Source organism: Homo sapiens, chromosome 20 (assembly GCF_000001405.40).
Source record: "Homo sapiens chromosome 20, GRCh38.p14 Primary Assembly".
Lineage (NCBI taxonomy): Eukaryota > Metazoa > Chordata > Mammalia > Primates > Hominidae > Homo > Homo sapiens.
This window is the reverse complement of record NC_000020.11, coordinates 48,291,435-48,315,053: the sequence shown is the minus strand read 5'-3', so window position 1 is coordinate 48,315,053 and position 23,619 is coordinate 48,291,435. Positions and strand designations below refer to the sequence as shown.

General features: G+C 44.6%; 4 annotated features.

Moving 5' to 3' along the window:
• Positions 18,172–18,916: an enhancer, noted in NCBI's record as "H3K27ac-H3K4me1 hESC enhancer chr20:46924881-46925625 (GRCh37/hg19 assembly coordinates)". NCBI's record gives its function as "activates a minimal SCP1, AML or CMV promoter by ChIP-STARR-seq in naive and primed H9 embryonic stem cells {active_cell/tissue: H9 hESC(naive and primed)}" and the evidence as "EXISTENCE:reporter gene assay evidence [ECO:0000049][PMID:30033119]".
• Positions 18,917–19,660: an enhancer, noted in NCBI's record as "OCT4-NANOG-H3K27ac hESC enhancer chr20:46924137-46924880 (GRCh37/hg19 assembly coordinates)". NCBI's record gives its function as "activates a minimal SCP1, AML or CMV promoter by ChIP-STARR-seq in naive and primed H9 embryonic stem cells {active_cell/tissue: H9 hESC(naive and primed)}" and the evidence as "EXISTENCE:reporter gene assay evidence [ECO:0000049][PMID:30033119]".
• Positions 19,661–20,406: an enhancer, noted in NCBI's record as "OCT4-NANOG-H3K27ac hESC enhancer chr20:46923391-46924136 (GRCh37/hg19 assembly coordinates)". NCBI's record gives its function as "activates a minimal SCP1, AML or CMV promoter by ChIP-STARR-seq in primed H9 embryonic stem cells {active_cell/tissue: H9 hESC(primed)}" and the evidence as "EXISTENCE:reporter gene assay evidence [ECO:0000049][PMID:30033119]".
• Positions 21,896–22,640: an enhancer, noted in NCBI's record as "NANOG-H3K27ac-H3K4me1 hESC enhancer chr20:46921157-46921901 (GRCh37/hg19 assembly coordinates)". NCBI's record gives its function as "activates a minimal SCP1, AML or CMV promoter by ChIP-STARR-seq in naive H9 embryonic stem cells {active_cell/tissue: H9 hESC(naive)}" and the evidence as "EXISTENCE:reporter gene assay evidence [ECO:0000049][PMID:30033119]".

Here is a 23,619-nt window from a genome sequence, read left to right as displayed (position 1 = left end):
TCCCAAAAAGGGACTTGTAAATGAACTATTTTCCTTCTTCTCTGGACTGCCCATGCCTCCCCACCCCCTAGCCATGCCAGTCATCACCCATTTGGAAACGATCTTTATTTTAGTGGAACCCAGATATCCCTGGCCTGACCAGTGTCTTACTGGCCAAGTTGAGTGCCCAGTAAACAGCACAGTTGCTTAAACGTTCTTGCTTCCCACCTCTAGAGGTGTGGACGCCATTGTGAAGGTTAATGATGATTCCTCTACTTCTGTTCAGATTTCCATTTCTGCCATCCTAAATGGAAGCCATCCAATCTCGCTTTATGCTCCCCACATACCCATTATCGGCTTATGAAGAATCAGAGCTGCACAAAGGCTCAAAATTGCTACGTTCTAGAATAGGCTCAGCTCTGAAGCAATTTGAATGTTCACAGGTTTAAAATGACTTGGCAGTCTGTCTATAACATGTCCTGTGGCCTGAAAGGGAATGAAAAACTCATCAGCCTGAATTTGTTAGTGATTAATTGATCTGCTGATGGAGCTCAGTTAATCTTTGCAGCCAAACAGAGACCGGCTCAGCCTTGAGCAATCAAACCAGCTGTGAAGAATCCTGCCTAGTCCACAGGCCTGTTCCATCTTAGGGTCCTAGGGAGAAATTATAATGGGGAAAAGGAAAGGGGTTTTAACCATAAATGCAGGGAATGTGCAGACAGGCCTGAGCAAAGGTTGGCAAGGTTGAAGACTTCACTGCATGGGCAGTTTGTGACTTTCCCTAACCCCCTTCCTGGGCTAAATACAGGGGAGCAAAATGCAAAATGACATTGGGGTTCTGAGACCAGGAAAAAACCCTGCAAGGTGATTGTCTGCCATTTCCTGCAGCTGCAGATCTACACACAGCAGAGGGTGCACATTTATGGTCAGGACAAATAAACACAGGGGAGGGGACTGGGGAAAGGATGCTGAATTTGTCTCTTCTCAGCAAGAGGTTCTCTGTGAGTCCTTTCCAGCCAAGAGACTCAAAATTTCACCATCCCTGGGCTAACCACAAATTACAACTGTGCCTAATTCAACAAAAAGCCAGATGTGGAGAATGGATGCCAATTACCTGGAGCTTCATATTAAATGGGTAGTGATGGATTAAATATTTAAGTTCAGGCATTTTCAAAGTTTCCAATGAAATTTCATTTAGCAGAAAGCTTATTTTTACTCTTTGAGAAGAAAATACAGTTTTGTACGATACACTTTTTTGTTTAAAAATCTAACTTGAAGCAACACTCACACAGGTCAAGGAAAAGTTGAGAAGGCTGTTCATTGCAGCGTTGTTTGTGTTGGAGAAACAGAGGAAGAATTTGCATCCACTGGGGTAGATGAGATGCTGCTGCGATAACAAACAACACCGAAATCCCAGGAGCCTGAACAGCTAAAGTTGTTTTTTGCTCATGCTGCTTGTGTGTCTCAGGGAGGCTGGGCCTCTGCTCTACGTCATCTCCACTCAGGGATCTAGTGGAGGACAGCTCCTTCTTCACGCTCCTATGACAGCCCAGGCAGGACAGAGGGCCTCTGACAAATCAGGGAGGGTCTCTTAAGCTTCTACCCAGAAGTGACACATGGGACTTGTGCTCCCATTCCATTGGTCAGTGTAAGTCCCATGACCATGACTATCTTCAGTGCAGGGCAGAGAAAGACAGTTGCACCATCTAGTTCTAGAGAACTAGAACTAGTTCACAAACATACTCATGACCACTTACAGCCTAAGTGTCCATCCTTAGGGGAAAGGGGATATGAACTGGGAGTTTCACCCCTAGACATTAACACATACAAACACAGCAGTATAAGGGAAGAGGTATCTGTATGCAGCAAGGTGGACAGGTCTCTAGTGCATATGGTTCAGGGGGGAAAAGCAAGATGCTAGACCCTATGTGATGTGAGAAGCTGTTTATAGAAACATGTGTGCACCAAAATATGGCCTAATTTTTTGTTGTTGTTGTTTTTTGCTGTTTCTTTTTTGTTGTTTGTTTGGGGTTCTTTTTGTCTCTGTCGCCAGGCTGGAGTACAGTGGCGCAATCTCAGCTCACTGCAACCTCCGCCTCCCAGGTTCAAGTTATTCTCCTGCCTCAGCCTCCCATAGCTGGGACAACAGGCATATGCCACCACACCCAGCTAATTTTTGTATTTTTAGTAGAGACAGGGTTTCACCATGTTGGCCAGGATGGTCTTGATCTCATGACCTCATGATCTGCCCACCTTGGCCTCCCAAAGTGCTGGGATTACAGGCATTAGCCACTGCGCCTGGCCAATATGGTCTAGTTTCTATGGAAAGTCATAACTGTAGTACTTTGGAATCACTTCCAGAAGCTGATACACTGTTATTGACACAGGTGACTCTTGGGGAGGGGGTCAGGCCCAGGACTGGGAGATGGTCATTAGGACTGGACAGCTGTCACTGCAGAGGGGGCTTGTGTGCAGCCCCAGCCCCCTGTCCCTTCTACCCCCCACCTCTCCCTGTCTGGCAACTGTTCTGTGCCAAGGACATTGGAGCCCACAACCTCCATTAGAAAAAGCTTCCTAAAACAGTGGTACCTGAACTTGCTCTCCAAACTCAAAGGGGCCCACAAGCAATAGGGTAGGTGCTCCTGGACAAATGAATGCAAGTAACTGAGGACTGTACTCAGAGCAGAGTCCACGGCACAGTTTTGACTTGTTTTAATTTGATTTCAGACAGATTGAAAATGATCCTAACAGTCTCAGAAGAGTAGGAAACATGCTGACCTAGAGATGCTGATGGAATGCAACTCTTTCTATTAAGCCCAAGGAGTTTTTCTTTAAGCCTAGCTGGAAAAACATTGTAGAAATTCAGGGACTTAAAGAGAAACAACCACAATAATTGTATAATTGTAGTCTTACTTCTTCCACTGGCCCTTTAATTAAATACTTTGGAAACTGGCCCCACTTCTTTCTCCTACATATTTGGATTCTGGGAAGTGGAAGGAGGGGAAGCTGACATTGATACAGGCGTGCTGGGAAGGGAAGTGCATGGTCCCTTTAAATAATATGGAAGTGGGGAAGGAAGTGCTGGGTATAGGAGGGCGTGGTACCTGGCTAGGGCTCCACCCCCACGGACCTAGGTGAGGAAAGGCATTTCCTGCCCAAATGTTGCATTTCCCAAGACCACCCTGACCTGCCACACCCCCTTCCGGGGCCTTTAAAAACCCGAGACCCTAGTGGGCAGACACACAGGCGGCCAGACATCTGAGGAGTAGTACATCAGTGGAAGAAAGCACAAACGGCTGGTCGTTGAGAGGGCATCGAGAGGAGCACACCAGCAGAAAAGCACACCAACAGGCACCCAGGCTGGCAAGCCATCAACCAGTGGGGTGAGGCAGAGTTTGGCTGGGCAGTTGGAGGAGAGAGGAGAGCCAGGGCCCCTGAGCGGCCCAACTCCAGGGGAAGATCATCTCCCTTCTGGCCTCCCCATCGGCTGAGAGCGACTTCCACTCAATAAAACTTGATACTCATTCTCCAAGCCTATGTGTGATCCGATTCTTCAGGTACACCAAGGCAAGAACCTGGGATACAAGAAAACCCTCTGTCCTTGTGACAAAGTAAAAGAGGTAATTGTGCTGGTTAACTCAAGCCACCTATAGACGGCAAACTAAGACAGCCTTCTAGCTACACGCCAACTGGCACTTCAGGAGCTGTAAACGTTCAACTCTAGACATATCGTGGGTCGGAGCCGAGCCCCACAACCTGCCCATCTATATGCTCCCTTAGAGAGGTTTGAGCAGCAGGGCACTGAAGAAGCGAGCCGCAGTCCTCCATTCCACGCCCTGTGAGGGGGACAAGGGAACCTTTCCCATTTCATCATGACCTGTGGTGAATCCCTATTCCCTTTTCCACTATCCCGTGATTTTTGCATCATGTGACATTGTCACCTGCCTCAGGCTGGACCAATGACCCCTTGTGTGGCCTCCATCAGCCACGGTGCCTTTGGTTTGGCTGGCACTGGGTCCTTAGAGGGCAGTTCACCATGCGCTGGGTCTGGGGTTGGGGGCTGTCAGGGGAAACAAGGTCTTCATGGCACCCCTAAGCTGCCTGGGCATCAAACTTTTGCATTCTTCAGATTTAGGGCTCAAGGAATGGCCCAGATACCAGTGACCAATGATCACACAAGCCAACAGCAGGAGGGAAAATGATCCTTTCATAGAATCAAACCTGTCAGTGGGACAGGGCCGGCCCCTGAGCTCAGGACGCTGGGGCTTTTGCTGTGTGCCATGGGCAAGAGGCTCCCTCTGCATGCCTGGTTCCCTCCTCCGGAAAGTAGGAGAGCGGCAGTACCCACCCCATGGGGTGGACGAGTGGCTTCCCTGGAGCAAGTGAGTATCCAGCCAGCAGAGCCCTGCGGGAGAAAGTGCCCTGTGTGTGTGTGGCCCAGAAACCCCCAAGTTGTCTGGTCTCCTGTGGATTCTGGACCCGCCAGCAGCCCCTAAGGCAGTCACGCTTCTTATGAATGTTGTTCCACTTTACAGACTGGGGAAAGGTCAGGGGCGGGCCTTGTCAAGGTCGCACAGCTGGAGAACGGGCAGCTGGATTTCAACTGAAGTCCCTGACCCAATTCCACAGCCCTTGATTTTAAGCAAACACACATCTTGGCTGTCGCGCCATCCCTCGCCAAGAAATAGCAGAGTCAGGCGGGGCCGGTTGGACACCCCCTGATCTGTTTATTTTTCAGCATCTGCTTCATAAACCCTTGTAGGTCCACCTGAATTTTCCCTATCGCCGTTAACCTCATCTTCCAATTATACAAAATGTTTCAACTGAGTAGCCCCTTGTTGCAGGAGTCTCATCTTTGGCTGACGTTTGGTGCTGTGTATCTTGGTCCTGACTGACAAAGGCAGCAAGTGCTCATGTCAGCCTCATTTTCTCCAAAGGGAAAATGGCTCCATGACCAGATGGGGCATCCATCCAGTGGACCCAGGAGCCCCAGTAGCTGCTGAGCAGGCAAAGAAAGGCTGATTAAAAATACACACACCAAGGCAGAAACTCTGGGCCTGAATTGGTTTCTTCAGAAAGAACAAAGATTGGGAGGTGCTAAAATTAAAAAAAAATGTATAGTTTCATGTAACTCTGGTTTTGGCTTTTTGGACATCCTGAGGTTCATGTGCCATATTTCCCTTGGTGTTTGGGACTCCAAGGAATGCTCTGTTTTGCTTGGTTTCCCAGCTGACCCCTCATTGATTCATTCATTCATTCAAGAGGTTACTGTGTCTGTAATGTGCCAGGCACTGTTCTCAGCTCAAAGTCTAAAGCAGGGGATCCAAAACCAAGGTGCTGATGCTAAGGAGCTCATGCTGTGGTCGAGGACAATCAATAAAGACAAAATGTATCTCGTGTGTACCAGGAGGAGGCTGATGCTGAGAGAGAAAGTGAAGCCAGGAAGAGGGGTCGGGGTGCAAGGGAGGTTCCCTGAGGACACTGGCATGGAGCAGAAACCTGAATGCCCTGAGAGGGGGAGACTGGCTAATATCTGAGAGAAAGGCAGAGAGAACAGCAAGTGCAAAGGCCCTGAGGCAGGAGCATGTTCAAACAGAAGCGAGGGACCAGTGTGGCCACAGCAGAGTGGGGGGAGATTCGTGGACAGAGAAGCCAGAGAGGCAAGGAGGCCAGACCCCTGACAAAGCCTCATGGGCCGCTCTGAGGATCTGGGTTTTATCTGTGTGAGGCAGGAGCAGAGGAATGACATGATCAGACTTGTGGTTAAAAGGACCACTCTGACCATTTTATTAGGGCAGGGGGCAAGGGGCCATGGTGAGGGTAAATGCCGACCCAGGAGCCAGTGAGGACAGAGTCTCCCCAGCGGCTGGGACCACAGTGGTAGCAGTGGGCTGGGAGAACTAGGGGAAGCTGGGGAGATTTTTAAGGTCGAGCCAACAGTCTTTGTCATGTGTATTGGGCATGGTATGTGTGAAGAACAAGACAACACGTGTCTCAGCATGGTGTCAAGGCTGTTGCCGTGAGCAACTTGAATACTGAGCTGTCAGAACCTGGCAAGAGATGATCAAGAAACATACAGGTTTCCAAAGAATTGGTTTTGTGCTGGAAAATGTAAAGGTGGACATCTTCTCCTGCTTTGTGTTTCTTTAAAAAAAAATCAGAGCACATTATTTATGTCAGATGGACACGTTGTCCTGTGAGGATGCCAAATTGTCATCTGTCATTTAAAACAACATGAAAAAGAATATGAGATCTCCTTTAACATCATCAGAAGTTTTTCAGCTATTGGTTCCTGGAAAAAAAAAAAAAACAAAAAACAAAACAAAAACAAAACTAGTGCCAGAGAATCAGCTAGAATAATTTGTGAGAAGGGACACAAATAGGCCAGGAATTGGTTTGCCTAATAGACTTCAACTTGAATTAGATGTAAGACAGATGATTCGAATCAGGCTGTTTTGCAGCAGAAAGAATTGCAGTGTCAGATGGAGCCATAAAGGTGCAGAAATTGAGCAGAAACACATGTTCTGCAGATATTAGCTGTTAGGTATGAGCCTTTCTCTTGTTGATGCTCTCAGTATGAAATCCAATATTATCGCAGGGAAAGGAAACAAGGCCACTAACTGTCAGATGGCCAGGTATATTACACTTCATCAAATCTCCCTGGTAACTTGACACATGCTTGTACCACTCAGGAAGCCAAGAGAAATTATATCTCCACTTTTCCTCATGTGGCGAGTTTAAAAAGAGATGCCAGCATTGCCGTGCTGGCAACAGCATGTGTGACCATTTGATGGGGGCAGGTCATTGGCACAGTGTTCTGTAATGTTAAAAAAAAAGAACAAAAAACAAACTCCACAGGCTGGGCGCAGTGGCTCACGCCTGTAATCCCAGCACTTTGGGAGGCTGAGGCAGGTGGATCACCTGAGGTCAGAAGTTCAAGACCAGCCTGGCCAACATGGTGAAACCCTGTCTTTACTAAAACACAAAAAATTAGCCTGGTGTGGTGGCACGCACCTATAATCCAAGCTACTTGGGAGGCTGAGGCAGGATAGTTGCTTAAACCCAGGAGGCGGAGGTTGCAGTGAGCCGAGATTTTGCCACTGTACTCCAGCCTGGGTGACAGAGCGAGGCTGTCTCAAAAAAAAAAAAAAAAAAAAAAAACAGCTGGGCATGGTGGTTCAAGCCTGTAATCCCAGAACTTTGGGAGGCCGAGGTGGGCAGATCGCGTGAGCTCAGGAGTTCGAGACATGATGAAACTCTGTCTCTACAAAAAAAAAAAAAAAATACAAAACTTAGCTTGGCATGGTGGCACACGCCTGTAGTCCCAGCTACTAGGGAGGCTGAGGTGGGAGGATCACTTGAGCCTGGGAGGTGGAGGCTGCAGTAAGCCGAGATCACACCACTGCACTCCAGTCTGGGTGACAGAGCAAGACCCTGTCTCAAAAAAACCCCAAAAACCTTCCACACAACAGTTGATAAAACAAATAAAAACATGAATTGGGGTCCCCCCTCCCGCTCCAGGAGGCAGTCCTGGCAGAGGACTAGGTCAAATGTTGAACATTTTGTTCCCGCTGCCTTAGGTAGCTGGGCGGGGCGGGGCGGAGCCCAGGCGGAGTCGGCACCATTCTCTTCTGCTCCGCAAGCGTGATCAGTGATGTCAGGTGGGGCTACTTGCTTTATAGATTCCTGGGCGTCTTTTTAACATAGATGGTTTTGATTGTAACAAATTAGACTGATAAACCTTTTCTTGCTTACCTTATCAGCAAAATTTCCAAAGTGTGATGATACCCTAGTCAATAAGGCTGTGGAGAAGCAGACATTCTCTAACACTGCTGGTGGGGGGTGATGCAGCACTGGTTCTGTGGAGGTCATTTTGGAGAAATCTTTAAAAATGACAAGTGCATTTAGTGTTTGAGCCAGCAATCCCACTCCCAGGAATTTATGCTGCAGGCATTTGTCTACAAATACTTATGATCAAGGGTGTGTATCACAACATTGTTGGTGAGAACCAAAGAGAGAAAACAATTCAGCATTCCTCTGTAGGACACTAGTTAAAAACAAAAACAAAGGCAATCTAGTAAAAACTATTGAATGTCTATATACTGAAATGGATAAAATAGAAATGAGATCCATTATTATTATCACTATTATTTTTTAGAGACAGAGACTTGCTCTGTCTCTCAGACTGGGGCAAAGTGGCATGGTCATAGCCCATTGCAGCCTCAAACTTCTGGGCTCAAACAATCCTCCTGCCTTCAGCCTGTAGAGCAGTGGGATTCTAGGTGTAAGCCACCATGCCTGGCCCATGGGGTAGTTATTCTTGAATATATGCAAGATCTAGCATATGAGAAAAAGCAAGGGGCATGGCAGTATTCATAGGATATTGCTTTCATGTACGAAAGGAGAAATGTAAGGTTCTATGTGTTTATATTGCTTATATTTGCATGAAAAAGCAATGAAGGACACATTAGAAACTATTAAAGTGGTTACCTGCGAGGGAGTGGAGTGCTCAGAGTGGGAGTGAGCCCATTAAATGAATCCTCTTCTATTACTTTGATTGTTAAGCCATCTGAATGTATTACCTGGCAAAAACTTAAGCAATGGTTTATAAACAGGCCCTATTTTGTAAGCAAGAATAGTGGTAGGAACACAAATGTATCAGGAATCAGTAGAGGACAGAACCAGGGAGTCCTTGTGCTTTTGTAAATCAAGATGCAAAAGACAAGACATCATCCCATCCTATCCCCACCCCACAATGTTCATTGCTCACTTCTTGATAAGAGCAGTGCTTTCTACCTGGCAGTCACTCAATGTGTAGGATGAGCCCTTTTCTGAATAGGGGAGTCCCAGTGTGTGCCTGTTTGCTTCTTTACTTAATAGCAGTCTCTTTCACTCTCCAAAGTGACCCTGTTTGAATAACAAATTATTTTGTCGCCTTATCAATAAGTCACAGAACTGCTCTCTAGCTAATGTAAGGAGATGAAATGTACTCCAAGAATCTGAATGGCTTTATCAAGACGGAGATTTTTTGTCTCATGAGATTTCTTGTCTCAAGAATTTGCCTACAGCAATTCTGATTTATGCTTGTTAACTAATAACTGTAATAATTATTAATAGCACTCCAACTCACTTTGACAAGTGCCTTGGGTTGGACAGTAAGTTGTATGGTTATTGCAGTCAGACATCAAGTCCAGATAGATTCAGTGCTCACGTGAGGTCACTGGGACATCTTGGTATGGCTATCACTCTTTTTTTTTTTTTTGAGAAGGAGTCTCGCTCTGTCGCCCAGGCTGGAGTGCAGTGGCGCAATCTCGGCTCACTGCAAGCTCCACCTCCCGGGTTCACGCCATTCTCCTGCCTCAACCTCCCGAGTAGCTGGGACGACAGGCGCCTGCCACCACACCTGGCTAATTTTTTTGTATTTTTTTAGTAGAGACGGGGATTCTCCCTGTTAGCCAGGATGGTCTCAATCTCCTGACCTTGTGATCCACCCACCTTGGCCTCTCAGAGTGCTGGGATTACAGGCGTGAGCCACTGCACCCGACTGGCTGTCACTCTCAAAGACCTATCAGATTAAAGTGGCTCCAGTGTCCATGTCCTCGAATCCACTGAGAGCCTCAAAGGGGAAAGGGGCTGGCTCCCACAAAAGATCTGGGATTGATTCTGATTGGATCACCTTCAGTGAGACCCATGGCTGACCCAAACTGAATAATTGGGAAGAATGGAACGTTCTGATCTGCTTAGATCAGAAAGATTTGGGTGGAGGAGCAGTTTTTTCTAGGAGTGAACAAGACTCTGATGTGTCTTGACACCTAACAACGTCTATAAATTTTCACCCTACTGCGTAAGCAAATCTCAACTCTAATGATTCTTCACGTTCCTTCCAACTCTTGATTTCATGATTCTGTGATGCCTCTTGACACATACGTGCAAAGGTTATCTGAGGGCTGACTTGTATCAATTTTAGAAAAATAGCAATAAAATCTTCAGGGCTTAGCATAGATGCCAACAGGTTTCCCAGCAGGAGTAGCAAATAAAAATTATATATATTCAAAAATTTGATGAACAGGAAATTACTTCTGGGATGAGCTCTCTAGTTATTGACTTCAAGGGAGTATTTGTTAGTATGGTGAAATGAAAATGATACATTATAATTTGACATTTTCCATGCAAATGGAAAAGTCGCAGAAATATCTGTCATCTCAGTTCAAAAAAGAACCCACCTAGAAAGAAGAAATTGGCACACTGCCACATCAGGAGGTGGTATGTTATGTGTAGTTTAAAATAAGGGTCAAGGTTTCTGAGGCTTGCTTTGGCTAAAAATTACAGAGACCCTTCCCTTCTCCCTCCCCCCTAAAAAAACCTTGGAGGTTTATTTTTTTCTCACATTAAACAAGTCTAGAGGCAGTCTCTTCTGGCTTTTTACTCCCCTATCTTTATTGTGAGCTCCATCCTCATGATCTTAATATAGCTGCCACTGCTCCAGTCAACATGACCAAGTTTCAGAAGACAGACAGTGACAAAGAGCACTTCGTCAACTCCTTTTAAAGAGTTTTCTTGGAAGTCCTATTTAGTAGCTTATGTTTAATAACCATTGGTTAGATCTGTGTACCACTCCAGGATAAAAGAGAGCCTTGGAAATGTTTTTAGCTGGTTATTTAGGTTCTTGAAATACAAAATAAGGGTTCAGTTACAAATAAAGAAGGAAAGAAGGGATATCGTTGTATTGGTTTTACACTCAGAGACCTACTGGGGGAAAGTGGCCACAATGCCCACATCCTCACATCTACTGAGATTCCCAAAGCAGGAGAGGGCTTGTTTTCTAGGAGCTCCCACACAGCAGTAGGCAACTAGGCTTCTCTGACACAACCTAATTGTGTCTCTGTACACAGAGTTTTCTCTAAAATTGGGTAGTGCTTTTGACTTCTTTCTTTCTTCATCATTGATGCTCCTTCTCTCTTCTTTTTTATTCTTTTTAATCTCCTATCTTCCATTAGAAGAAAACAAGAGATAGAATATATCCATGTCATACTTCTCTTCCTTTCTTTGTCCCCCATATGTATCAAATGGGTTCTGGGTTATAGAGACCTGTGGTCTTATCCCCAATAAACACAACAGACTAGTCATAAAGATTGCAGAACTTGAAGATTCAGAACTTTGCAATGGAAAACGCTGCATCGTACATCAAACATGTCCATTTTTTTCAAAATTTTATTTTCCAAAATTTTTGAAATGTGACTACTTTACAGATATGTTTACTTATATAAATAAGCATTTTTAGTCATCTGAATTAAACCAAACACCCAAATGAGCTACGCTAATCGACTGGAATGCCAATCACAGAATCAAAACTAAATGTTACACATTATTTCCTTAAGAAAGGAAATAAAAACAGCTCAGAATCCAGCTCACTAAAGAGTTGAATATGTATATTTTCTTTAAAGATTCAACTTTAGCAAAATATGATCATTTAAATATTCCTGGAAGAGCTCCTAGTCCAAATATATTTCTGAATCCAGAGCGCAATTTAAACCAAATAAATGTTAAAATTTTAGTCGCTATTAATTTATGGTATTTCAAATGAAGACTCACATGCTAACATGCCTGAAGCCAAGATGTAAATATCATCTTGTAAATACCAAGATGTGAACACCCCCGCTATCCAGCCTGCATCCATCCACATCCTGGGGTGTACAGACAACTCACCCAGTCTGGAGACTGAGCCAGATGAATCTGATAATGGACCAGCTGGGCATCCAACGGATGCTTGTGTTTTGGAGAGTAGGATGTGAATCTTAGCATCTGGGGAAGCAGAGACTGGCCTAATTTCCTAAGAATAGATTCTGGGCATAGAAATTTACAGTGAATATGGGGAAGCCTCTAGTGAAAACCCAGAATTCATCCCATGAATGATAGAAACTCTGCTGGTGATGGAGACATTACATCCTAGAACTATTAGGTGTTATGTGCATATGGAAGGATGATGGAATGATGGATGGATGAAGAAAGGATGGATGGATAGATTAATGGATGGATGAATGGATGGATGAAGAATGGATGGATGGATGGATGGATGGATGGATGAAGAATGGATGGATAGATGGATGGATGAATAGGTGAATGCACCTTCTCTGCCTTCTTCTATGCCTGGCACATGGGAAGGACTCAATAAATACTATTGAATGAATGAACAATCAGATGAATGAGATTGTGTTTTACGTTTCTTTTCCTGTGAAAGCCGGATAGTCAGATGGGGAGACTCAGGTTCTGGAGTCAAATGGCCTGCATTTAAATCCTGGATTTAAGCATAATTTACTGTGTGACCTTAATCACTGAAGTCACTGGGTATCTCTGAGCCTCACAGTTTTCATTGTTGTGATGGAGGATGCATCATCGTCATTGTCATCACCATCATGTGAGAATAAATATGATAATGTGGTAATGTATATAAGCTGCTTAGCAGGGTGCCAGGCACATAGAACACATTCACTTTATAAAGGTTGGAGTCTGAACCATATGTAATTGTCTATACACTTATGACAATAAGATTATTTCTAAGTTCCTTAAGAGGAAGGAAAATGCTACTACTACCAGTTTTAATAATAGTAACACACACTGAGTGATCAATGTGTCAGGAACTCTTCTAAGCACTTCTACTTGTTAGCTATTTAATTCTCACACTCACCTCATGAGGTAGGGACTGTCATTATTCCCATTTTACAGAAGAGAAAACTGAGGAGTGAAGAGGTGAAATCACTTGTTCAAGTCACATGGCTGGGAAGTGGAGAAGCCAGGATTTAAACCCTGGTGCTTTGGTCCCAGAGTTTATCTTCTTAGCCACATTTCATGATATGGGGGTGATAGTCCATCTTAAAGATGAGGAGGCTGAGGCTCAGAGAGGTGAAGCCACTTGGCCAGGATCTCACAGCCTGGAAGGGAAGGATCTGGGATCAGACTCTGGTTGGATAGCTCTACCAGGTGCTTCCCTAATTGCACAGGGCCCAGCCCTGAAAGATCTTGGCTAACAGTTGTTAATGGGATCAACTCCATTTAAATTGAAGGTGTGTTGAGGATGAGAAGAGAAGATGAGTAACAGTTACCAAGTCCTTCCCATCTGGAGGCATGGCTCAACTGTCTAATTTAAGCCCATACATTAACTAATAGTGTCAGCAAGGGGACAAGAGGACTGTGTATTTTAGTGACCATGGATGTCTGAAAGGAATGGCAGCTCATCTCATTTTGTAAATGTTTGGTTCGGTCACTCCCTTAATTCAGGGTGACCTTTACCCCAGACTGAATTTTTCTGATGTTATTGCTCATAGCTGGAAGCCGGTGCCCAAATCTACTTCAGAAATCAGAAGGGGCTGAATCCTAGAAATTTGTCCTCACCTCTGTTGTCATCTGTCATAGATCTTTCACCAACTTTCTGCTTCACTTAGAGAGTTTCTGAGGTTCTTCTCAAGGAGAAATTGACAAATATGCAACTGTGTCCAGGCACTACAAGGCCCACTAAGAGTCTCAGTTAGCACCCGCTTTATTGCAAATATCATAAAAACTCAACTCAATATTAAAAGGAAGATGTTGACTCATGTAACTGACCATTTCTGAGCCACGTGGATGCAGTAGATTGGACTATTGTACCCAATCCCTTTCCTCTCTTCCCTGACATCCTCATTCCAAGGACTTTGGTCTTGGCCATGTGACTTTCTTTGGCCAGTGGGGTATTAGTGGACGTGACATGGGAGAAGGCTTTAGATATGCTTGTGTGGGATGCTTAGGATCTTGCCCTTATGGTATAGGCACAAGAAGGGCAGGCTCCAAGCATCCTATGAACCCAGGATGGAGATATGTGGAGGTGGATCTGGTCTGAACTCTGAAGCAGAGATGCACCAGTTGACTTGCAGACTCGTGAGTGAGAAAAAGAAGTTTTTTGTTTTTTTTTTAAATACGCCACCAAGATTTTGGGGCTGTTTGTTACAAAGCTTTGTTGAACTACACATCCCTCACTAAACCAATCACTGAGAATGGACAGGATAAAGTAGGTTTCTGACCTAAGCCCATAAGACTCATGCTGGAACTGAGGGTAGAATCAATGTTCTCTGGTGTGAACTGGGGTTTGATCCAGGAAAATAAAAAGGGGGATATAACCTTATTAAAAGTCATGTGAAGGGATGCTGGAACACAAAAGCAACATTTGCCTATAATGCTGAGCTTAAGCTTGTATTTTCTAGTAGAAGGACAGTTTTAATGCTTTATAAATATAACCTGTAACCATCTCCTATCTTTTTACAACTCCCTTATTATGGGAGCAAAAGCAATCTGAGCTCCTTTGATTTCTGAGTCTGTGGTTAATGATCAATTGTCCAGTCTCTTGTGTAGAACATATTTTCTCTCACCTTCTCCTTCCTATTTCTTAAAAGATTGAAATAAAATATACATCACACCAGGCATGACAGCAATTATTTGGCTCAAATAATTCCCAAATGGTGCCAAGCACTTTAGTCCCGCAGGTTCATTCCTCTTGTCATTTCATTTAAAATATAGACCTCGAAAAGTGTACCCTTGGCTATTTTCAAGTTTTAATCTCCATTGACAGAACCATTAAAGTGTCTGTCCCCAATGTCAGAGCTTTTAAATGCTCCTTTCCCTTTCATGATATGCAAGTTTGGGCGCCGGAATCCCTGTTTGCTGGACCCAGGTGCTGCCTTGTCAGTAATAAGTTTGTATTTTTGTTAGGAGGGCCAGAGAATAAGTCTTTAATTGAGGGTAAGTTTAAGGGAAGTGGTAAGCTTTTTTTTTTTTTTTAGATGGAGTCTTACTCTGTCACCCAGGCTGGAGTGCCGTGGCGTGATCTCGGCTCACTGCAACCTCCGCCTTCCGGGTTCAAGCAATTCTCCTGCCTCAGCCTCCCGAGTAGCTGGGATTACAGGCGGGCACCAACACGCCTGGCTAATTTTTGTATTTTTAGTAGAGACAGGTTTCACCATGTTGGCCAGGCTAGTCTAGAACGCCTGGCCTCAGGTGATCTGCCCGCCTCGACCTCCCAAAGTGCTGGGATTACAGGCGCGAGCCACTGTGCCTTTCCGGGAAGTGGTAAGCTTTTAATGTGTCTACAGAAAGTATATTGGGATGCAGGATGGTGGACTTACTAATGAGGATAAGCAAGGCAATGTTGCAACAAACAACAGTACCCAAATCCCCTTGGCTTAAAACAACAAAACACACTCTATATATCTCACATGAGTTGTTAGGGAGGCCCAGTTTATTTTAACTTCTCAGAGATCTAAAGGAACAGAAGCTCCACCATCTTTCAGTATCTGCATCTCAATACATGCTCCCATGATCACCATGGCATGGCAAGAGACCATAGAGAATCATATACCAGCTTTTAAATAATTATACTGAAACAACACATGTCACTTCCTCAGATTTCCTTGGCCAAGCAAGATCTTATGTCCATACATAACTTCAAGGATGGGGAATTGTAAACCTTTTGTGGGATGGGAAGAGGAGGGGAATCTAGAATGTTGGTGACTGCTGAGTATGTCTCCCATAGTTGAGTTTTAGTTACAGAAAGGAAAGAATTGACATGAAAAGCAACTTCACTAATATGATGGTTCTCTCTTTGGCACGGTGGATCTCGGCAACTTGTTGGGCTTCTAAGTGGATGGATTAAAGAGAAGCATCATTTGAGGCTGGCTTTTTTTTTTTTTTTTTGCCACCAGTCTCTTTATAATCTTATTTTTGTCTGCGTGAAGGTATTAGCATACATTTTCTGGGCTTCCAGCCAGATGAGTCATTTTCTTTGCCTATTTTCCTGTCTCCATGGTGCCCTGCTGTTTGTCAGAACCAAACAATGGTCCCAGCCAAAAACTGTGCTGGGGGTCCTAAATCCACCTAGCTTAGTGCCCAGATACCCCTCCTGCTCTCTGGATGGAGCTCACCCTCAATCAGCTCCCCGGCAGGACCAGGCGCCATGCATAGACAATGCCACTTGGCATCTGATAAGTAACATTTGGTAGCAAGCCCGAATCAACTTTTCATCATCCTAGACAAGAGATGCATTTGGGACTCTTCAGTCTCCCCTGAAGCCCTCAGGCAGGCTTCTGTCATGGCTGTTTGGGATTATGATAACAGTGCTGGGAGGTCCCCACCTGCACCTCAGGCCAGACTGGAGAGGGCGAGAAAGCAAAATTAAAATGTCAGATTCCTACTGGGGATTAGGAGGCACTCAACTCTAGCCAAGTTTTTTTCTCCCTGAAGAAGGGGAAAAAAAGAAAATAGAAAACCCAACCCCAATTCTCCCATCCTCCTCCACAGTCCATAAAATTATAAGTTAAGGGATAAAAAGAAGAGACATAATTCAGCAAACCAGTGAGGAACACTTTGCCTGAACTGATACATTTTTCTATCAGTTTGAGGCCAGCAAAGCAAAAGAATTTCTGTTCACACCTCTGGTGTGAACAAGGGCTGTTTCCAGGAGAGAGATACCTCTAAAATAGGGAAATAGAAGAAATTGCAGTCTGTCAATTATTCACAGTTTAGTCTAACAACTATCTAAAATGTAGCCAGAGACAGTGTGGGGAGCAGATTTTAAAAAGGGCTCCCAATGGTCCCCACTTCCTGGTATCTGTGCCCTTGTGTGATCCCTTCTCGTTGAATGTGGGCTAGACCTAGGGACTTGCTTCAAACAAATAGAATATGGGAAAAATGATGGGGTGCTACTTTCGAAATTAGGGTAGAAAAAAGACTGATGTAATGTCTTATTCTCCCCATCACCGGCTTGCTCTGGGGGAGCCAGATGCCAAGTGCTGAGCTCCCCATGGGGTGAGAATCAAGGGAGGCCTCCAGCCAACAGCCACAAAGAACCAAAGGCCTCAGGTCCGCTGTCTTGAGGAACTAAATCCTGCCAAAGACCACTTGAATAAGTTCAAAAGCAGGTCCTCCAGCCCCAGGTGAGTCTTAGGATGAAACCACAGCCCCAGCTGATACTGTTTGCAGCCTTGAGAGCTAGAGAACTCAGCCAAGCCACATCCAGTTTCCTGAACCACGAAACTGCTAGATGACAAATACATGTTTCTTTGAGCCACTAAAATGTGGGGTTGCTTGCTATCTAGCAATAGATAACTAATGCCCATGGCTAAAGTGGGTGGGCATACAAGCCTGCCCAGGGCAATACTATTTGACCAAATTTTCCTGCTGAAATTTCTTTGACGGTTTTGAAACCAGATGATCCCAGCTTAGACTGAAGCAGCCATTCTCAAATGTTTAGGTGTGAAGACTTCATTCAAATGGAACCTTATGGAAAAGTTCTATTTGTCAAACAGATCAAAAACAAGCTGCTCTGGCTGAACTGGCGGTGAGGGCTCCATTAGACACCCAGCTCTGACTAACGTCCCCAGAGGAACCTTCTGTCCACCTTAAAAATTCCGTAGGAACCATTGGTCTAGCTGGTTGGGGCAGGCCTGCCCCAAGAATACTCAGTGATAGGAGGTGTCATCAATGACTGACTTTAAGAAAAAGCAATTTTCCCCCTGCCCTCACCACGAGTATAGACTTGGGTGAGCCCCAGGTTAAGGCAAGGAGGATGGAAAGCTTCTGCAGCGTCTGCTGCAGGGCCTTTCTCCTTCCTCCCAGCTCTCCCTGTTCTGTCCCTACCCTGAGCTCTGCTGTTCCCCAGAGACATGCCTCCATCAGCCAGCCAGAAGCCCCTGCTGAAGGTGGACTGGTATGGCTCATTCAGCCATCCTGCCTAGAAGTTGCTCAGTTATAAAAGGGAAAGAAGGAAAACCAAAAAGGAAGGAATCTCCAATGCTGGAGTTTCATACTCAGGGCAGGCTGGTGGGGAGATGGGCAGCCTTGCTCCATGCTGGTCACTGTGAGAGAGGCCTGGAGTGTTCTGCTGCCCCGAGGTGCAGAGATGGAGATGGGGCAGAGGCACTGGGTCCCCAGCCATGCCTCTCTCTGTAGTCATGAGCTTCTCACCTCCTGCTGCACAGACCTGTGGTTCCACTCAGATCCCAGCACAGAATTGCACCTGACATTGGGTCTCCTGGTTCTCGGCAGCTGGATCTGGTTCTGTCCCTGTGGGGAGGTGGCTGCACCTGCAGGTCCTCCCGGGATCCTGACTGATGCACAATAGACAAATCACCATGTGAGGAAACGCTTCAGGGAGGAGGGCGTCTCCACTCCCCAACAACCCAGCAAGACAAATCCAAAGGGATCCAGGAGAACGGAGCTAGCAGGAGCCTGCTGCTAAGGAGAACGAGTCGAGTGTTCTCATGTTTCTGAGGTTATCTAACAAGATGCACAGACTCACGTGGGACAGACATCATTTCAGGGCAAAGATGATACGCTGAGTGTGGGTTGGGTATTTGTGGCTTGAATTTTCAAAAGCATTTTAGGTGCATAGAAAACTATTCTGCAACAAACCATTTCACAAAGGATATCAAACTTTACAAGCACAGTGGAAGCTTCTAGTGTAACTCTCCACCATCATGTTTGCCTCCCTCCCTCTGAGAATCACACCTGAACTTTAGGTTTACTATGCTCGTGTATTTCACTTTCACTGCATTTTCATGTATGACCACTTTTCCAGTTTATTTTAACCTCTGTAGAGTACTCCACGCCATGAGCTCCAGCTGGTGGACATCCGGGCTGGCTCTGTGTTTTTCATGATCACAGACAAACAAAGCTGCCATGAATGTTCCAGTGCCTGGGTGCATGTGACACACTTGGGGCCAATGAGATGCAACAGGCCTTTTATTGTGGCTTCTGAGAGCAGCAGAGGCTCTTTTCTGCCGGGCTGAATCTGTCCTCAGCCATGACAGGAGATACTCTCTAAGAATGGTCCTGAGAGGGAAAAAGAAGAGCCAAGAGGCCAGGAGACACTCGTCCGGACCTGATGACATCATTGCAGCCTCTAGATCCAGCTGTGCCTGCAACGAACAAGGCATTCCTGGCACATTTTAGTCACCTGATGTAATAAAATTCTTTCATTTAAAGCTATTTAACTCGTTTTCTGTTGCATGCAACCAAGAGTGCTGACTGATTAAATCTTCCAATTATATGATGTTTTTACTTTAAAAGGAGTATTCAGTGCCTTCACCTGAAAGGAGCAATAATGGTAGTATTGAAGGCACACAGCAGTCCAGTGGTACTTAGAGGGTCCCTAAAATTATACTGTGTGGCCGGTTACTACTCAGTCCTTAGATTCAGCTGGTTCAGCAAGAAGAGTCATCAAGCTATCAGCTCTCTTCCCTCCTTTCTCCTGAAGGTGTCCTTCTTTACCTTTAAGACAGAGCACCCAACTAGCTTTGGCTGTTTTCAATTAGGCCTTCAGCTAAGAAATGGAAGGAAAATTTAAGGCCAGAATCATCGGAATGCGATGACGTGTACTTTCAAAAATTTTCCAGGAGGAGCCGACCTCATTCAGGACTTTGATGCTGGATTGAGTGCTCTGGTTCCACTCAAAGCTTAAGAATGCTTGACCTCTGATCTGTTAAGGCCTCAGACAAAGGGCAGACAATTACATGCAGGGAGAGAAAAATAGTTTTCTGGTTACAAAGATAATTTTTAATTGTTCTGCAATTGATGATTATCTAAATTTGAGTTTTGGTGTTTTTTTGTTGTTGTTGTCAACGTAAAGGAGTGAAGGATCCCACCAGCCTTCAGGCCTTGCTATTTAAGCAGGATGAACTAACACCTGCAGAATAATATCTGCATCTGTCACTGCTTAGTTGGATTTCAGGCCATGTCCTTTCGTCTTGCTAATCAGTTTTCCTGATTTCCTGGACTAATAACTCTTTCTCTGGTCTCCATTAGCTGCACATGCCATTTCTCTTGTAAAGACCTTTAAGTTTATGTTCTTATTTAAAGCAACGTTTGATGGACACCAGGCTTGCTTATTGAGTGTGTCTCTGACCCTAGGTCAAAGCAGAAAATGGGATTTTTGAGAAATGTCACTGAGGTCATGGTCGCCAGGATCAGCATAGTGAGCACAGACCCAGGGCTCAGAGGGCTACAGCAGGCAGCAGGAAACATCGTGGTGGTAAACTCCCGGGTCCTGTCTGAAGTCAAGTACCAAGGAGAGAGAATGGAAGCTTGGCAGTTCACTGAATTTATTCCAGAAGGCGAAGCTTGCACCTTCTCCTTGGTATTTGACTTCAGATAGAACCCAGGAGTTTACCACCACAATTCAGAGCTGACGAAGGACTGAGTTTTTCTAGATGAAAAAAAAAAAAGTTACCAAAGTGATTTGCACATTGTAGAACATTTCAATTCACAGATTTAACATCAGAGGCTTTAATGATTTGTAAATGACTCTGTGTGTTAATTGGGATGGCTTATGGGCAGTTAAAAGATCCCCAAATCTCAGCAGCTTAAAATAAGAAACAGCTAATTCTCTCAAATGCTATGTTTCCCTTCTGTGAATACAGTGGTGTCTGCACATTGTATTTGCTCAGGGCCCCAGCCTTCATCTTGACACATTTCTAGAAAATCACCATGACAGGTGGAAGCTAAAGTGGTTTAATGAACATTGGCTCAAAAATGATACACGCTGCTTCCACTCACATGTCTTAGACAACACCAGTCACATGACTGCACCAAACGGCAAGGTGGCAGGGAAGTGCAATTCTACCAAAAGGCAGGAAGGAAGCCCTTACATATTTAGCAAATAGCACTGATGGCCACCATACCCCATCACATGCAGCCATGCCAAGCTTGGCTGAGTCATGAATTTGATTCCCATGCGGTCAAGCTCGGGGGTGGAACAAGACCTCTCGCCTGGTGATGAAGGCTGGCCTCCCACTCAGTATTTGCAACCCAGAAAGGTTTGGACATGTCTCTCATCCATGTTGTGTTCAAATAGATAAGAAATTGATTAAAAATTCAGATTCTTGGTGAACGATGATCTCTGAGCAGAAATCCAAATTTCCGTATTAGAAATGGAGAAATCTAAAAAAAAAAAAAAAAAAAAAAAAAAAAAAAAAAAAAAAAAATTCAATGGTCTTAGCCAGAAAAACAAAACTGTAAAATGTGAATGTAACCAAGATTAATGAAATGGATGAGACCGCATTATATGCTGAATGGAAGCTTAAAAAACCATTTATGAGACTGTTTTGGTGGGGCTGCAGCCTGTGAAATCGCTGCATTTTATGTGAGATGTAATGTAGACCACAGAACTGTTCACAGAGAGTTCCCAGTGGTCCCTGGAGCTGGAGTCCAACCGCACATGGAAAGAGTGTCTGCACGGTTGGAAGGCCTGGATGCTAAAGTCAAACATAGCTGGTGAATGCTCTTCTGCTCCTGTGGTCTCTGAATATATATGAGACAGGGAGAGAGAGACAGAGAGAGAGAGAGAGAGAGAGAGTGTGTGTGTGTGTGTGTGTGTGTGTGTGTATATGCAGTTGTCCCTCAGTATCCATGGGGGATTGGTTCCAGGACCTCGCTTGGATACCAAAATCCATGAGTGCTCAAATCTCTGATACAAAATGGTGTAGATTTTGCATATAACCTACACACATCCTCCTGTATATTTTAAATCATCTCTAGATGACTTATAATACCTAATACAATGTAAATGCTATGTAAATAGTTGTTATGCAATGCTGTTTAAGGAATAATGTCAATAAAAATGTCTGTGCATGTTCAATACAGACACAATTCATTTTTGAATATTTTTGATCCTCGGTTGAATCTGCAGATACAGAGAGATGACTACATACACACACACACACACACACACACACACACACACACATACACACACACATGTAATTTTAAAGAGTACTGTGAATATAAATCTTTAAGGGTTTAAAAATTTATTTTGAATTAAGTTATTGGAATTATCAACAGTACCCACTTGATGAAAACAATATAAATAAAAAGTGACGCGTGATGATCTTTCAAAATGAAAAGAATTTGATATTGAAAATGCATCTCTCCAACAGCTGAATGGTGAGCATCGTGGAATTTTGCTTAAAGGAGCCCTGGCCCCAGATCCCAAGGTTCTGAGTCATCCCTTTGTTTGATACCCTCGAGGCGGAGCACCTCGAGGGATGGGTGGGAAACTACGCTCTCTTTGGCAAAATGGGAGGAGGAGAATCGGAAAAAGGTGACGGGAGAAGACAATAGGCGTGTTGACCACCCAGCAAGCATGCTCTCTGCAGATCAGTTTAGGGGATGAGAGTAGTTGGAAGTGTATGAGCCATCCTTGCCCCTCTGCCCCTTGGAAAGTGTTGTGGGTCCTCAGGTGACCTTCCTCTGTTGGGCCATCTTTGCCCCACTCATGAAATTATTGTTCTGGCTTCTCTCTGTCTTTGCTCAAATAGGAATAGAGCAAAGATACAGACAGAGCCAAAATAATGTGAGTTGCATTTGGTACTTTCAAAGTCAGTGTCTTATTTATCAAGTGTACGGGATAGGAGTTGATCTTCTTCCCTAAGCTCCCAACCCTCTCCATGTTGCAGAGAAAGTCCAGTTTAACATGTCAGGACACTCTTACCTGTCCCTCCTCTTCTGTCTCCCTTCTCTCCAGGACCCCACCTCTGCTCCTCTGCCCCTTCCTTCCCCTCCATCCTTCTATTCATATTCAGTTTTGGTCTAGCTTCTCTTCCTATCTTTTTTCTTCCTAAACATTTCCACAGAATTAAATCTTGAAAGCAATTTGCATAAAACCATTACAAAGGGGCCAAGAGTGGCATTTCTTTACGGGCCTGGGTCAATAGCTTTGACAAATGAGGCTGATATCAAGGAAAACAAATTGTTGGTGTTATACTGAAATTTTGCTGTGGGTATTAAATATTTGCATGAGGTAACCAAACACTCTAGGGTTTAGGCATATGAATTCCTTTCCAAAACCACTAAAATGAAAAGCTCACTGCAAATGAGGTTTGAAATGGACCTGCCTGTCCTCTGAGATTTTGCAGCGACTAATGGATTAGCCCCCAAGTGGAACACAAACCTACTTTGCTTTCATAGAAGCAAAGAAGACTAATAAAGGCTGTGTCTCTATGCAGCCCTGAATCAACTAGGGCTCCGTCAACCTCTGTTTAATAGCCTCATGCTTCTCAGCTGAGCTTCTTAATTAAGTCGCAATAAGAGTTGCCCCTTAAGAAATCCCCGAACACCTGAGTTCTTGGTTTAATATTCTTCACTAGTGTTAGTGCCAAGAAACGGCTTAGAAAGGGAAGTTCATCCACCCCTCTCTGAATCTCCATTAGTGTCCCACTAAGAAAACACATACATAAAGTAAAAAATAAGCATTATGAAACTGTTCCATTTTTATTTATCTGAAATATACATGCCAAGTAGAAACTGTGAATGCTCCGCTGAGGCAGCTTTGAGATAAGTGTCCTATGCCTATCATCATGGCCCCTTATTGAACATAGAAAGCTGGGCTTACGCTCTAACAGCAATCGTCTCCAAATCTCAGTGGCAATCACACCAAGAATTTGTTTGTGTATTAACTTACGTGCTTATTTATGTTTTGTTGTTTTTTCCAGCTCACCCTTGCAGGCAGCATACCCGCGTGGACTCAGCCATCCTGGAGGTTTTCATCTTGCTCTGTTAACCTTGAAGCACCGATCTCCACCATCACAGTGCAGGGTAGACGGCCTGGAGTTTGCACACCTGCCA